General features: G+C 38.4%; 1 protein-coding gene and 1 long non-coding RNA gene across 6 annotated transcripts in view; both read left to right on the top strand.

Annotated features, from left to right (window-relative positions):
• The window catches only part of LOC107985862 (uncharacterized), a 63,638-nt gene extending 61,753 nt beyond the window's left edge, over positions 1-1,885 (top strand). Inside the window, exons 5-7 of one of the 5 annotated variants that reach the window (XR_001739387.1) lie at positions 90-183; positions 948-1,075; positions 1,848-1,883. This is a non-coding gene — a long non-coding RNA (uncharacterized LOC107985862). Of the gene's footprint in view, positions 1-89; positions 184-947; positions 1,825-1,847 lie in introns of those variants that run through there. The other 4 variants (XR_001739388.1, XR_001739389.1, XR_001739386.2 and 1 more) reach the window with 4 other exon arrangements.
• SRD5A2 (steroid 5 alpha-reductase 2) overlaps positions 4,526-17,013 on the top strand; it is a 140,530-nt gene continuing 128,042 nt past the window's right edge. Inside the window, exon 1 of the mRNA XM_011533072.3 lies at positions 4,526-4,677. The gene's annotated coding sequence lies outside the window, so the exon portion shown is untranslated. The remainder of the gene's footprint in view (positions 4,678-17,013) is intronic.

Raw genomic sequence — 17,013 nt, 5'->3', positions numbered from 1 at the left:
AATTAGATTGTGCCCACCAGATTAAGTGTAGATCTGCCTTCCCCAGCCCACTGACTCAAATGTTAATCTTTTTGGTGACACTCACACAGACACACCCAGGATTAATACTTTGTATCCCTCAATCCAATCAAGTTGACAGTCAGTATTAACCATCGCAGGAGGAGAGCATGAGCTACCTTCCAGGTAAGAGCCACTTGACTTCAAGCCCTTTCTGTGTCAGGTTCCTTTTGGGGTCTGTACTCACTCTGGCACCACAGATTCTTATAAACACCAAAGGAAGCAGGTTTAGGGAAAGGAGATCTCTTGGAAAAAGCACAATGAGGCCCACAGTTGAGGCCCCCAAATGGCCACAGGCTTTTCTCTGAAGAAGCCATGGAGCTCCCTCCTGATGATAAAGCTAGCTCAGCTTGGACGTCAAGCATGGCTCTGGGGCACTGAGCCCAGAATTTGACCTTTGTTCAAGAACAGAGATCCCAGATGCTGGCTCCCAGGACTGTGCCTGTCCACAGTGATGTTTTCACTGAGATGCAGTGAACTGTCAGTGTCTGGTCATCAACTGTTTTTTTCTAGAATGGAAAAGACTTTCTTTTATTCTGTAATAGTATTTATCTACTTTTTAATGTCAAAAATATTATTTCTTGTATGAAATTATTATAATGGCAAACATTAGCTTTTTTAAAAAAATATTCAATTAGCAAAGTAAACAGTTGGCAATCCTTGGGTCTTAATTTTTAAGAAAATTAAATTTAATTTGTGAACCTCTCGTTTTGACCAAGGAAAAACTGGTTTCTCAGAGGCTGGGGATTGATTAGTAGGAGGGTTTTTTAGAAAAGGTGGGTTTAAAGCTCCGTGCTTCTAGATTCATTCATCTCCCAGTCCTTCCTTGAACTGTTCCTTTCTTAGACCTCATCTTCCCTTAGCTCTGACCCAGTTTCCTCATTGTGCAGACCTGCTTCTCCAAGAACACAGTGAACTTGGCCCGGCAGAGCTGTGGTTTGTGTCCACCCCCATAGCTTATGTCCTTTGATGTTCCGCCTGACTAATGGCCTGTCCATTCTCCTTCAGGACACATAAGGTGATGTCTTCCTGTTCTTCCTAATGGCATTTTTGGCCCACTACTATGAAAAAAGATCACATTAATACATAAACTGCCCCATGGAACAGATTCTAACTTGGAGATATGATTTAAAAGCTCTATATAACCCTCAAATATCTTTAAGAAAGGTCACTTAAATTCCTACTGAGATTTTTTTCAGTGGTCTTCCAGAAAAAAAGAAAAATTAATTTTTACCTGGAAGCAGTAGTGCATTGGCGTAGTTTATTAGAGCTGTTTAGCCCACTATCATGAAAAAACTTATTTGATCATCATTTTCTTATCTAGCATATCAGAGGTCCTTGAGGAAATTGGAAACGGGCAGGTAGGAAATCGGATGGGGTGATGTAAGGATGAAACTGATTGTGCATTAGGGTTTTATTCTACTCTGGATAGAGAAGGTTGCTGAAGAAACTCATGAAATCTTTATGAGCGTGTGTGTATGTGTCTCCAAGCACAGGGAGGTACTGAAGACTCATGAATAATAGAACTGGAGCTAAAAGAAGGTATTACATGCGAAAAATATATGGATTAAGGGCATTAGACACAAACATCTGCCTGCTTCACAATACTGTCCAGGGTTGGCCTGAAGGGTAAGAAGCAGGCCTGCCTCTAACATTTGTGGGGCTGAGTAAGGATCACATTAATGCCCTAATTACATATATCTAAATATTTAAAAGGTATACATTAAACCAATGAACTATTAAGTAAAATCTGTTTCTTTCTTTTTTTTTTTTTTTTTTCATTTTTTTAGAGAGGATCTTACTCTGTTGCCCAGGCTGGAGTGTAGTGGCACAATTACAGCTCACTGCAGGCTGACCTCCCAGGCTCAGGTAATCCTCCCACCTCAGACTCCTGAGTAGCTAGGACTACAAGCATGTACTACCGCACCTGGCTGTTTTTTTAATTCTTTGTAGAGATGGGGTCTTACTGTGCTGCCCAGGCTGGTCCTGAGCTTTTGGATTAAAGTGATCCTCCTCCTCAGCCTGGGAATGCTGGGATTACAGATGTGAGCCACCATGCCTGGCCAAATCTATTCTATCTTAACTTGACCAATATACAGCTGATTTTTATTATTCATGGATTCTGTCTTTTCAAATTTGCCTACTTGTTAAAGTTTATTCATGACCCCAAAATCAATACTTGGAGCACTTTCATGGCCATTTATGCACATGCACAGAGTTGCAACAAATATGAGTTGCCCAATGTGTGTGTTCTCAACTGAAGTGCCATGTTTTGTCTTTTTTTTGTTGGTGATTTTGTTATTAAAAAACGCCCCCAAGTGTAGTGCTGACATGCTGTCTACTATTCCTAAGTGGAAGAAGGTGGTGATGTGTCTTATGGAGAAATACAAGTGTGAGATAAGCTTCATCCAGGTGTGGGTTATGGTACTGTTGACCATGAGTTCAGTGTTAATGAATCAACAGTAAATAAGGTGTTTTTAAACAGAAGTACATGTAAAATGAGGTTATGTATTGATTAGCTGGCAAAAATGCAAAACAAAGTTAAATATTAATCAGTTGACAAAAATGTTGTGATCAAAGATTTTGGGAACCTAATGCTGTATATCTCCTGGGGTAAGCAATCAGCGTTCAATAACTCAATGTTCATAATGACTTTATAGAACATAACTGCTATGAATTATGTGAATTGATTAAACTTCCAAGGTGACAAAATTGAAAAATATGTGTAAAGCTATCATTTTTATTTGACTGGAGCTCATTAAAACATCACTGGATTTAACTTAATTATATCAAGTGTGTCTGGATATTTTGTTGATAGGCCTATGATATTTGGATAGATAATAAGGACATGCATAATTCATTACCTATTATAGCTAATTTTACAATATTTATTTGTATTGCCTTCATTTCATCAAAATCACTAATTATATTGTTATAATCAAGATTTTTACCTGTTCTATTAACATTAATGATTAAAATTTTTTTCCTTTACATTTTACTGCCTTGGTATTTTTTTTTTATTATTATACTTTAAGTTTTAGGGTACATGTGCACAACGTGCAGGTTAGTTACATATGTATACATGTTCCATGTTGGTGTGCTGCACCCATCAACTCATCATTTAACATTAGGTGTATCTCCTAATGCTATCCCTCCCCCCTCCCCCCACCGCACAACAGGCCCCAGTGTGTGATGTTCCCCTTCCTGTGTCCAAGTGCTCTCATTGTTCAATTCCCACCTATGAGTGAAAACATGCGGTGTTTTGTTTTTTGTCCTTGCAATAGTTTGCTGAGAATGATGGTTTCCAGCTTCATCCATGTCCCTACAAAGGACATGAACTCATCATTTTTTATGGCTGCATAGTATTCCATGGTGTATATATGCCACATTTTCTTAATCCAGTCTGTCATTGTTGGACATTTGGCTTGGTTCCAAGTCTTTGCTATTGTGAGTAGTGCCACAGTAAACATACATGTGCATGTGTCTTTAGAGCAGCATGATTTATAATCCTTTGGGTATATACCCAGTAATGGGATTGCTGGGTCAAATGGTATTTCTAGTTCAAGATCCCTGAGGAATCGCCACACTGTCTTCCACAATGGTTGAACTAGTTTACAGTCCCACCAACAGTGTAAAAGTGTTCCTATTTCTCCACATCCTCTCCAGCACCTGTTGTTTCCTGACTTTTTAATGATCGCCATTCTAGCTGGTGTGAGATGGTATCTCATTGTGGTTTTGATTTGCATTTCTCTGATGGCCAGTGATGATGAGCATTTTTTCATGTGTCTTTTGGCTGCCTAAATGTCGTCTTTTGAGAAGTGTCTGTTCATATCCTTCGCCCACTTTTAAAATTTAACTATGTTTTAAGTGAATATAACATGAATATATTTTATAATAAAGTATAAGTTTATACAAGGAAAAATTTAAGACTATATATTAAATTTATTTCTTGTAAAATATTAGAAATTATTTATTATATAAAAAATTAAATTATAATTAATGGATATCAACATTTAAGATCAGCTTTAATTAATCAAATTTTTAATTTTATTATTTGAAAATATAATTCAACCATTGAATATTTTTATAAAAACAAAACTATTTGTCATTCAGTGCTCATCAATTGCCAATCTATTGTTATCATTATAGACCTACATTTATATACACACAAAATGTGATTGTCTAATATTTCTTTCTAGTTGCCATGTAGAACTGTTGCAAACACTGTAATTACTGAATACTTCTGAATTAGAACTTGAGGAGAAGCAAGAAAATAAACTTGGCATTACTTGTAAACAATACTTTCTTATTGAACAACCCTTCTTATTAAAGAGTTAATTGTCTCATGCTATATAGGAAGAAGTACTTTAAAACTAATTAATTTGTATCTTCTTTTATCTAAGTGTTTTTGTCACAAATCCTTTCCGTACTCTGAGTCCCTTTACATCTCTGGTTCTTATGTCTGCAGTGAAACAACCTAGTGAGATCCAGTACAGCTTCCAACTTATATTAGACCAACTTTCCTCCCTATGACATTAATAGCTGGGGTATGGAGCTGTCAGAGTGACACGTAAACTCCAATCAGATCACCAAGTGGCCTCAGAAATGCACACATACAAGGTAAGACTGCAAGAAACTTAGAAACAAGAGCTAGAAGGCTAAAAGAGCTGAATAGAGATTTTGGTGGGTGCCCACTTCAGTAGATTTGGAGTTTTGATTTTAATTCCTGCCAAATGAGAGTGATTGGATGAACACCTCGGCCTTCCCACTGAGGCCTCACATCTTAGAAATAAAGACCATATTACAGGACTAAATGATTTTCCCCAGGACTAAGGGTGATACCAAAATAGAGCTACTCTTAAAAACAAAACAGACCAGGCACGATCTCTCATGCTTGTAATCCAAGAACTTTGGAGTATCACTTGAGCCCAGGAGCTTGAGATCAGCCTGGACAACATAATGAAACCTTGTTTCTTACAAAAAATTTAAAAATTAGCTGGGTGTGGTGGTGCACACCTGTAGTCCCGGCTAGTCAGGAAGCTGAGGTGGGAGAATTGCTTGAGCCTGGGAGGTCAAATCTGCAGTGAGCTATAATTCACCACTATGCTCCAGACTGGGTGACAGAGTGAGACTCTGTCTCAAAAACAAAAACATAAACAAACACACAAAACAACCTGCAAACCAAGTCTTCACAAGTTCAGAGTGATCAAGAAGAGGGATCAAATTTAGTGTCTCTACAACATGTCATTCATAATGTTCAATAGGTAATACAGAACTATTAGATGTTAAAGAAACAGGAAAATATGATCCAAGGTCAAGAGAAAAATCAGTTTATAGGAGCTGACTATGGTTACTCAGATGTTTGAAAAAGCAGAGAAGTGCTTTACCAACATATGTAAAAGAATCTGTGGGAAAAATGTTAAGAGTGAAAAGTTGGTGAATTTTTGAAAATATACAGGCACTGTAAAAAACATTCTAATGAAAATTCTACAACTGAAAAATAAAGTATCTGAAGTAAAAAATTGGATGAGATTAGTAGAAGTTTGGCCGATATAGAAGAAAGGATTATAAATTTGAAGACAGGTCAATAGAAATCATCCAAACTGAAGTACATAGAGAAAAAAAATGGTTGAAAAATAGCAGAGTCCAAGTGATCTATGGGACACTATTGAATACATATTGAAGTTTCAGAAGGAGAGGTGAGGGAGAATGAGGAAAAAATAGTTGAAGAAGTCTTGGTAGAAAAATTTCCAGATTGGGTAAAAAGATACCCATCTATGATCCAAGAGTCTTGGAGAATCCCGAACAGGGTAAATATACGGAAAACTAAATAACGTAAGAGTCAACTGCTGAAAACAGAAGGTAAAAGACATCTTAATATTTGACACAATTCTTCATTAGTCTCTTGTGTTTCTACACATCTGATCAAAGAGACTAATTTCCCTTTTGTTCCAGACTACCTTTTCAAAGATGGTTGTATATCAAACAGCCTTGGAAGATAGAGTGTCTCCTTGTGTAGCACAGGACAGGTTTGTTTACTGCTCAGTGTAAGAAATGTAATGTTTCCCTCCAGGACCAAGGTCTGGCAGGCTTACTGAAAGGCAGCTATTAGCTTGCTACTGAGTTCTTGTGGAAATTGAACACCTGACCATGGAGGCATTGTGTTGTGACTCTCTGCCTTGATATAACCATTTTTGGGTGTGTTAACTCAGACTCAATGAGTAGGAATCTAAGAGCTCTACTTGTCAAATGGAAATGGTATGTTCAAAAATGTAGCTGGCCAGATTCCGGTGGTATCTTGGCTTTACATGAAAAAGTGCCTTTTATTCCTTTGGGAGAAACTTCATTCCTATTTTACTGCCTGAAGCAAAACTATTGCTCAGTGGGCCCTTGAATCACCAAGGTTTCTCTAAATACCTGGGTTTAGTTAACAGGTGGCTAGACTAAAATCTGACTAACTTGAGCTGTTGCCAATGGCCTCGTGTTTGGTATGCCACACAGAAGCAACACACTGGTGGATTAATGGAACCCTTCTTTTGGGGCCATGAACCATGAGAACAAATTGTGGCTGCCTACTGAACTGTCTGAATTACTCATGGATGCCTACAGTAAGGGCCTATCTTTTTTTTTTAACAGCAGCATGGGACTCTATTTTGTTTATGTTACCATATTTTATTTAATCAATCTTTTATGCTTGAACATTTAGATAGCTTCCAATGTTTTGCAATTACAAATAATCCTATAGTGAATAAACCTCATACATATGCATATTTTTTACTTAATTTTTATAGTAGTTTTAGATTCACAGCAAAATTAAGAGGAAGGTACTAAGATTTCCCATACACCTGCTGCCCCCACCTGTGCATAGTGTCCCCCGTTATCAACATCCCCCACCAAAATGGTACAATTATTAACAATTGATGAACTTACATTGACACAGCATAATCACCCGAAGTCCATAAGTTTACTTTAGGGTTCACTCTTGGTGTTCATTCTATGGGTTTGGACAAATGTATAATAACATGTGTGTATGACTCATGCACATGTGTTTTTGTATCCCTAGAGGTGTATCTTTAGAAGTGGGGTTGCTGAGTCAAAAGGTAAATGCATCGGTAATTTTGTCAGAGATTGCTATATTCTCTTCCAGTTAGGGTTGTTATAGAGTGCATTCCCACCAGCTATCTATAAAAGTTCTTTTCCCCTCTATATCATTGCCTGCAGGATATATTGTCAAGCTCCTGAACTTTTGCCAATCTGATGAGTAAGAAATGGTGTCTCAGTGGTTTTAATTCTTGTGTTTCCTTTGTCTGACTTCCATTTCAACAACATTCTCTATGACCACTTTAAAAAATTATAATTGTATTTTAATTAAGTAGAGATATGGGAGATTTTTTAAAATATCAAATTCTATAGATGAAATCTATAGTGTATAGTCTGAAATGAAAAAAAGCACTGCAGAAGAAAACAAAACAAAAAACCATTGGAGAAGAAAAGATTAATGAGCTAGAAAAAATAGAGGTAGAAACTAACACAAATGAAACATAAAGGGAAAAATGAATTTGAAAAATAAAAAGACTATCAGTGGGAAAACTTTAAACACCCTACTATATGGGTAAAAGGAATTACCATTTTTTATTTCTTTTTAACATTTTTTTCTAATTCTGTGAAAAATATCATTGGTAGTTTGATAGAAATAGCATTGAATCTACAAATTACTTTGGGTAGTATGGCCATTTGAACAATATTGATTCTTCCTATCCATGAATGTGGAATGTTTTTCCATTTGTTTGTGTAATCTCTGATTTCCTTGTGCAGTGATTTGTAGCTGTCTTTGAAGACTTCCTTCACTTCCCTGGTTAGCTGTATTCCTAGGTATTTTATTCCATTTGTGGTAATTGTGAATGGGATTGCAGTCTTGATCTGGCTCTCAGCTTGGATGTTGTTGGTGTATAGAAATGCTATTGATTTTTGTACATTGATTTTGTATTCTGAAACTTTGATGAACTTGTTTATTAGATCAAGAAGCTTTTAGGCAGAGACTATGAGGTTTTCTAGGTATGAAATCATATTGCATGCAAATAGGAATAGTTTGACTTCCTCTCTTCCTATCTGGATGCCTTTTATTTCTTTCTCTTGCCTGAATGCTCTGGCTAGGACTTCCAGTACTATGTTGAATAGGAGTTCTGAGAGTGGGCATCCTTGTCTTATTCTGGTTTTCAAGGGGAATGCTTACAGTTTTTACCTATTCAATATAATGTTGGCTGTGGGTTTATCATAGATGGCTCTTATTATTTTGAAGTATGTTCCTTCAATGCCTAGTTTGTTCAGTGTTTTCAACATGAAGTGATGTTGAATTTTATTAAAAGCGTTTTCTGCATCTAGTTCTGTTTATGTAATAAATCACATTTATTGATTTGCATATGTTAACCAATCTTGAATCCCAGGAATAAAGCCTACTTGATCGTGGTGGATTAACTTTTTGATGTGCTGCTGGATTTGATTTGCTAGTATTTTGTTGCAGATTTTTGCATCTATGTTGGGATATTGGCCTGAAGTTTTCTTTCTTTCTTGTGTCTCTGCCAGGTTTCAGTAGCAGAATGATGCTGGCCTCATAGGATGAGTTAAGGAAGAGCCTCTCCTCAATTTTTTGGAATAGTTTCAGTTGGAATGGTGCCAGCTCTTCTTTATACATCTGATAGGAATTGGCTGTGTATTCATCTGGCCTGAACTTTTTTTGGGTTGGTAGGCTTTTTGTTACTGATTCAATTTCAGAGCTCATTATTTTTTCTGTTCAGGATTTGTTTCTTCCTGGTTCAACCTTGGGAGATTGTATATTTCCAGGAATTTATCCATTTCTTCTAGGTTTTTTAGTTTGTGTGCATAGAGATGTTTGTAATAGTCTCTGAGGATTTTTTTTTTTTATTTCTGTGGGGTCAGTGGTAATGTCCCCTTTGCCATTTCAAGATTATGTTTATTTGGATCTTCTTTCTCCTTTTCTTTATCACTCTAGCTAGTGGTCGATCAATATTATTTATTCTTTCAAAGAATTAATTTTTGGTTTTGTATGGTTTTTTGGTCTCAATTCCCTTCAGGTCAGCTCTGATTTTAGTTATTTCTTTTCTTCTGCCAGCTTTGGGGTTGGTTTGCTCTTGTTTTTCTCATTCCTCTAGGTATAATGTTAGGTTATTAATTTGAGATCTTTCTAAGTTTTTGATGTGAGTGTTTAGTGCTATAAACTTTCCTCTTAACACTGCTTTAGCTGTGTCCCAGAAATTCTCATATGTTGTTTCTTTGTTTTCATTTGCTTCAAAGAATTTTTTGATTTCTGCCTTAATTGTTTACCCAAAGGTCATTCAGTACCAGGTTGTTTAATTTCTATGTTGTGTGGTTTTATCTTCCCAAATTCTTCTACAGAAGCTGGTTCTCTGAGGCTAGTACTTCTAGACCTACAAACTTTCAAGTACTTTCTCCATAGTCAGGGTTTTGTTTCCAGCCTGTGTTCGGTATTTTTTTGTATTTACTGTTCTACTTTTTTCTTCTAGAGATGATTTTTGTTTGTATTTCTTCTAAGTTCTCTCCTTCCTTTTCTTCTTTTTCATGATGACTTTTTATTTCCTTCCCACCCCCACACACTCTTCACACCCACAGGATTGTGGTTGTGGCAGAGGCTGTTGGTAGAAACTGTGTTGGAATTTGATCCTTTATTTTTCCTGAAAGCCTAGTTTATTTCTCTACTTGAGTTTTTTTTACATTTAACTCTTCAATCAATTTGTAATGGTAAAGTAAGAATTTATCACTAATTTTTTCCTTAAATAGCCAATTTTTCAAAACCATGACATGTCATAATATGATTAGTTTTTTATTATTCGGGTTGTGGTAGTTGCTTTATTAAATACTAGGGTCTAGTTCAAGAGAATCTATTGGCTGAACATGGTAGCTCACACCTGTACTCACAATGCTTTGGGAGCCTGAGGAAGGAGAATTGCTTGAAGGCAGAAGTTAGAGGATGTAGTGAGCTACGATTGTGCCACTGCACTCCACTTGGGAAACAGACTGTCTCAAAAACAAAATAAAACAAACAAAGAGAGTACCTATTATAAATCATTAAATTCAAATATCAGTACCATAATGTATTACAATCCTTTCAAATATAAACTTTTAATTTTAGATGTATGGAAAAATTCTGAAGATAGTCTAGAAGGATTTCTCATACCCCACACCCAGTTTTCCCTATTATTAACACCTAATATTATCATGGGACGCACATTTGTGTGCACACAAAAAAAAGAACCAATATTGACAGGTTGTTATTAACTAAAACACACATTTCATTTAGATTTCCTTATTTTCAAATGAATGTCTGTGTTGTGTTTCAGGATCCTAGCTAGGATACTATACCATATTTAGTTGTCCTGTCTCATCAGGATCCTCCTGGTTTGTATTTACTTTTTTTTGTGATAGTTTCTCAGATTTACTTTGTTTTCAACGACATTGAAGGTTTTGAGAAGTATTATTCAGATATTTTGTGAAATGTTTTTGAATTTGGATCTGTTTTTCCCCCATGATTATACTGGGGCTATGGATTCTTAGAGAAGGAATAAAATATAGGTTAAGTGTCATTTTCAACACATTGTATGAGGGGTACATACTATCAATATGACCACCTTAGTCTGTTCATGCTATTGTCCCAAAATACCTGAGTCTAGGTAATTTATAAGCAACAGAAATGTGTTTCTCAAAGTTCTCGAGGCTGAGAAGTCCCAGATCAAGGTGACTGTAGGTTCAGTGTCTGGTGGGGCCTTAGTCTCTCTGCTTCCAAGATGTTGCCTTGTTACTGTGTCTTCCTGAGGGATGAATGGTGTGTTCTCATATAGCAGAATGGTGGAAGGGCAAAAGGGGCATCAGCTATTTTCCCCCAACGTATTTTTTTAATTAGGCACTAATCCATTTATGAGGGCAGAGCCCTTGTTACTTAGTCAATTCTCAAAGGTCCCACTTCTTAATTTCACCACAAGGGGATTCAGTTTCAACATGAATATTGAAAGTAAATAGAGGGAAAACATGTCCAACAAGTGGATTCTGAGGCATTTTTAAAGTCTAGAGGTCAAGAAACTGAAAAGGGATGATCAAAGGAGGTTGAGTAGAATGGCCAATAAGGTAGAAGGAAACCATGGGAATGTGATGTGTTGAGAGCCAAGTAAAGAAGGAAAGCATTAATGAATCAAACCATTCATCTTCTCTGCTCCATCCCCAGTATGCAAAACTATGCTAGAAGGAATGGCATTGCTTGTGTCCAACAGATTCACGATCTCCAAAAATAACTTTCACTACTATTCACTGTTGTGGCTCTTCTAAACCTTCACCCTTCTTGATTCCCTCTCCTTCAAGATGATTTGTCTTCTGCTTCACAGAGAGAACTGATATAATCAGGCTTTAACTTCCCCGACTTACCAGTTTTGTACCTCTGTCTATATGTGCATCTACTTTCACCTTCCTCTCTCAGCGTCAGAGGATGGGTGGACTATTTTCTGTTTAAGATGTGTCCCCTCACAGCCAGCATTTTTGTTTAAGTCCCACAGTCCCCTGTTGAAAATTGCTTATTAGTTTTCTTTATCTTTATATTTTTAGTTTCTTTCTGTCTAGTAGGTTCTTTCCAGTGGAGTGGGGGAAGCTGAACTGAGGAAACGTAGAAGAGCTTATGCTTATTATTTATTTATTCTTCTAAAGCATGGAGGGGAGTTCTGCCTACCCTTAGGGAGAAAACAGCATTGAAACAATATTTCTCATTCTTCCCACCTCTTCCTCCCACTTCCTCAACACGAGTGGGACGATTTATCTTGCTGATGAGATCAGGGCAAGAGGCAGTGCTCATGAGTGGTCTGTTTTTTTTGCCTTCTCTCCTGTACAGCCAGCTGTTTTGATTGGTGAGATTTGTCATTCTTTCTAGGCTGTCTCCTCTATGCAAAATACTGGTGGAAACCATGATGTGCTTGCTCAGGCCCCACAACTTCCCATCCTCTGCCTGGAAGTCAGTGAGATACTTTAGCTGTTGGAGGTAAGTTAGGAAGCACATTTCAGGCTGGGTGCAGTGGCTCATGCCTGTAGTCCCAGCACTTTGGGAGGCCGAGGCGGGTGGATCACACGAGGTCAGGAGTTCGAGATCAGCCTGGCCAACATGGTGAAACCCCGTCTCTCTAAAAATACAAAAATTAGTCAGTCGTGGTGGTGGGCACCCGTAATCTCAGCTAATCAGGAGGCTGAGGCAGGAGAATCACTTGAATCTAGGAGGCAGAGGTTGCAGTGAGTCGAGATCATGCCACTGTACTCCAGCCTGGGAGACAAGGGTGAAACTCCATCTAAGATAAAAATAAAAATAAAAAAATTAAAAAAAGCACATTTCAATTTCTAGTACAAGCTTTGTTCTCTGTTTCAACTTTATTATGAACATAACTGATATTTCCCCTCCTATTTGACTCATATCTGCTTATCAATTTGGTTCAGAACTTGGAGAAGAAGAAAGGTATAATTAGTACCTGGAACTTCCAACATATAATACTGGGAAAACTTCAGAGTAGATTCTCATTTGGAGACAAGGTTACCCTGTAGCAAGAAAGAGCCTTCGTGTGTGACCAGAGAAGAGGATTTAGCATGTCTCTAATCAGTGTGGTTTGCTGTACATTGTTGAGAGCAGATATGGTGGGTGTGCCTGATACTGGCATCAGATCAGAGTGTTTTAGTTCTGTCTAGTAAAGGCTTACTTCAGAACAGGTGGTGCTTCAGTATAAAGGCTTTTAAGGCTTGAGTGGATGCAACACTGTTTTTATCAAGTTGTTTTTAACATTTATTATTATTTATTTATTTATTTTAGAATCCAAGATTGCCAGATGTTACTGCTGTAAAAAGATGGGGACAAAGGAATGCTACTTAACTCTGCTGCATTACATGTTACTCAAGCCCGTAAAATTCATGCAGCAAATGCTTTTGGTGTTCTGCTTTGGATCCCCCAGCACTCACCCACGCACCAGCTGATAGCTTCCTACTCTGACAACTCTGAACTAAATTCAGCCCTGGGTGCTTTTTCCACTATTATGTTTGCTCCAGTTCCTGCTGCCATTGTTGTAAATAAAGGATGCAGGTTTTACACAGCAGGGTGAACCTCTCACCTGCAAGTAGTGTATCCTTGCCAGTGCTTTGAGATATGCAACTGCTGGGCTCTTGCTACTTTGCTTATGTGGTTTCAGCCCAATCTCAGTCCTGTTCATCCTAATTTCTGACCCCATTTTTGCAAACAGCAGGTATAACTTTTCCATTTCTGATGAGTCCCATATCTCTGGAACTGTATGTTTTTGCTGGCACATTATGAACTATGCTGTTGCTGGGCTTTTTTTTTTTTTAACTTTCTTTACTTCTCTTTCTTTCTCACACTAGTTTATACCTGATTTCAGCTACTTTTGGCAACCCCTATACATATTCTGGAGATTGAAAATGTTATCTGTCTCCTAGTTGTGTTAAAAATGTAGGCTGGGTGCAGTGGGTCACGCCTGTAATCCCAGCACTCTGGGAGGCCGAGGCGGGCAGATCACCTGAGGTCAGGAGTTTGAGACTAGCCTGGAGAACATGGTGAAACCCGTTTCTACTAAAAATACAAAAATTAGCTGGGCATGGTGGCGGGCACCTGTAATCTCAGCTACTCTGGAGGTTGAGGCAGGAGAATCGCTTGAACCCAGGAGGCGGAGGTTGCAGTGAGCTGAGATCGCACTGTTGCACTCCTCCCTGGGCAACAAGAGCAAAACTCCGTCTCAAAAAGAAAAAAAAATTGGAGTTTGCAGGATATTTTATTCTACTCATTCTCAATGTCTCCTTGCAAGAGGACAAAGGGTGACACCTTGACTTATGCAGCTATGTTCATACCAGAAATTTTGGGAGTTGTATCATTCAGGGTGCATACAGAGACAAGAATTATACCAATTATTTCATAAGAAACAATCTTATGTAAAGAAAAGACAAAAGAGAGAGTGAGGTATCCCAGAGCCAACAGTGACAGAAAGAAGCTACTACTCCTTTTGCTGAGGGTACAAAGAGAAGGATTTGGGATTCTTAAAACCTTAAGGTGTAAATGAGCAGTCCTTGTACATTTGGGACTCAAACTCTGAGATGGAGGGACACTTTTTGGCTGGTACTTGTACCTCAAGAATTTGGAATACAGTTCCATGATGGTGGGACTCAGACTTCTGAATGATTGATAGCTGCTTGACTGGAGCTGGTGTCTCTGGTCTTACAAGAGGAAACCCTTGGAACTAGGACGGACTTCTGAAGAGGTATTGGCTGGTTGGTGTTGGCGGCTCTAGGGGACTGGGGGTGGGGGTGAGGAAATGACTATTTTGTTAGTGTGGGAAAAATGCAAATTGGAAGAAACAAGTAAACTGGAATCAACTGGTGCTCTTAGTTGATGAACCATTGCTGTAGTGACACTGATAGAATCAGGGAATAAACAGGAAGGAGCAAATCCTTTGTTCCTCCTTCAGGCTCCCAGTCTCACAATAGTGCAGAGTCTCACACATTGGCAGAGAGGAACAGGGAACCAGCGCCATCAAGCAAAGGACAGAGTCTGGGTTTGAAATTATGGGACAGCAGTTCAGTGTCCTTTTCAGGTAAAAACACATAGCTTTCTTTAATTCTGACAAAATCTGCATTTTTGTTCTTTAGCTACTTTATTCTCACTTTCTTCTGTAGATTAAGTTTGGCACTTCTGGATGTATTCTCCATGGTCTTTATCCTTTTACACTGTGTGCTTTTTTAGCTTCATCTTCTAACTCACTAATTTGCATTTCAACCGTATCCAATTAGGTAGTTAATAACTAAATTTTTTGATTTCAATAATTTGTTTTCATTTCTAAGGCCTCGGATGTATTCTTTTTCATAACTGTTCTTGTTTTATGGGTACAATATCCCTCCTCATCTTTCTGATATAATATCTTTATTTTGGAGTGCTGGGCCTTAATTTTTTTTGCCTTAGAAGTTTCTTTTTTTTTTAGATTAGAAAAAATATAGCTGGAAATATGCTGCTAGATACTGAGTGCATATTTTGACCAACTCAAATGCAAACATGTCCTTGCAAAATTCACCAGTTGGCCAAGTTAAAAATCTGCCTATTTCCCAATAGAATTTCACATCAGTATTCTCCTTAGCAAATGTATTTGATGAATGAAAAACAGTGACTAGGGCTGGGTGTGGTGGCTCATGCCTGTGATCACAGCACTTTGGGAGGCCAAGGCGGGTGGATTGCTTGAGCCCACAAGTTTAAGACCAGCCTGAACAACATGGCAAAACCCCGTCTCTACAAAAAATAAAAATTAGTTGGGTGTGGTGGCATGGGCCTATAGTCCCAGCTACTGGGGGGCTAAGGTGGGAGGATTGCCTCCGTCCTGGAGGCGGAGGCTGCAGTCCTCACTGCACTCCAGCCTGGGCAACAGAGCAAGATGCTATCTCAGAAAAGAAAAGAAAAACTGTGACTCAGAAGGGTGGGGGCTGCTGGCTAGGGCAGACTTTAGATGCTGTCCATAGCTTTGAACTTGCCGAAGGCCTGCATGGGACTCATATACTTCTCTTACTGGCATTTGATGGAGATCACGTGGGATGCCTTCACTGTTTGTACCACGATGTTCATCGTACAAACACAATGTTCAGCAATTCCTTGGCTGCTGGATTGGGGTTACTGTGCTGTCCATCCTGGAGATGACAAGCTCCTCACTGAGGTTATGAACCATGGCCATGATTTTGCTGCAGATGTTGAGGTGGTGGCAGTAGAGGGTGATGTGCTGCAGGTGGGCTAGCAAGTGCGGCTTCCAGGCTGAGTCTGAGCAGTAGTTTGTAACGATAAAGTTAAGCTGATCCATCCTAGATCTTGTCTTAGCAATTTTCTTGGCTGCACTGATCTTGTCTGATGAATTTTTGAGCAGTCCTTCACATTGGGTAAAGTCAGTCATCTCTATCATTAGCATGTACATTACCATAAGTCTGCTTGGCCAGCATGATGATGTCATTGCCACTGTTACCCCATTTGGACATGTCAGCATCCAGATTGCTCTTTTGTTCTTCTTCTAGTTGTCTGACTAAGTCATTTTACTCAACAATAAATTGTATTTATTGTCTGTCTTTCATGTCTCACTCTTCAGAAATCTGAAAATTCTTATCTATGGGATAATTTTTTTAGATTAGATTTCCTGTTCCATAATGGTCTTTGTGCATCTCACTAAAGAAAATTGGGTGAAGCTACTATTAAGTTTTATGCTTTGAACTGTTTTCTCTGAGAGCCAGGGATGGGTGGGATATACCCTTAGGCATGAGGCACCATCTATTGGTCTTCTGAGCTAAACTGTTAATTTTCCCCTGAAATGATCAGATACGCAGACACTTATCCCACCTGAAGACATTTTCTGTTGCAGGTGATTGGCCTGCAGAAGGCAGGTGGAGATCTATAGTTAGTCAACCAGTCTGTTTGCTTCCCTTGAAGTATGCCCACAAATCTCATTATTATGTTGGTCGCCCCTCATGATCCCAGCTTCTGCCACCTCCAGATACAGAGCTCCCATGACATTGCTAGCACCTTTTGTAGTTGTGCCCTCTTCTGGATTCTCACCTGTGAGATGGTGTGTGGTTTTCCCTCTTCTCTCCAATCCTGTCTCTTCTCAGTGTCTTGAAGATTCCTCACAATGTCTGATTCTTTGAGGCTTCCATCTTGTTTTGGAGTGGAGCTGCATACTTACTAAATTTTAATAATTATCTTTTAAATTATTTTTAGTGCTGGCAAAACTAGAGCATGTAACATGTGTTTGGCTTAGAATATAAAAACTAGAAATAGTTCCTGGAATTTTATATGGTGGAAGTGAGAGGGTGATGGTTTACTACTTGTCAGCTTATGGAACTAAAATAATGAGGATTTGTACCATGACTATG

This window comes from Homo sapiens, chromosome 2 (genome assembly GCF_000001405.40).
Source record: "Homo sapiens chromosome 2, GRCh38.p14 Primary Assembly".
Lineage (NCBI taxonomy): Eukaryota > Metazoa > Chordata > Mammalia > Primates > Hominidae > Homo > Homo sapiens.
Note: the sequence above shows the minus strand (reverse complement) of the source record. Positions and strands in the feature narration are given on the sequence as shown.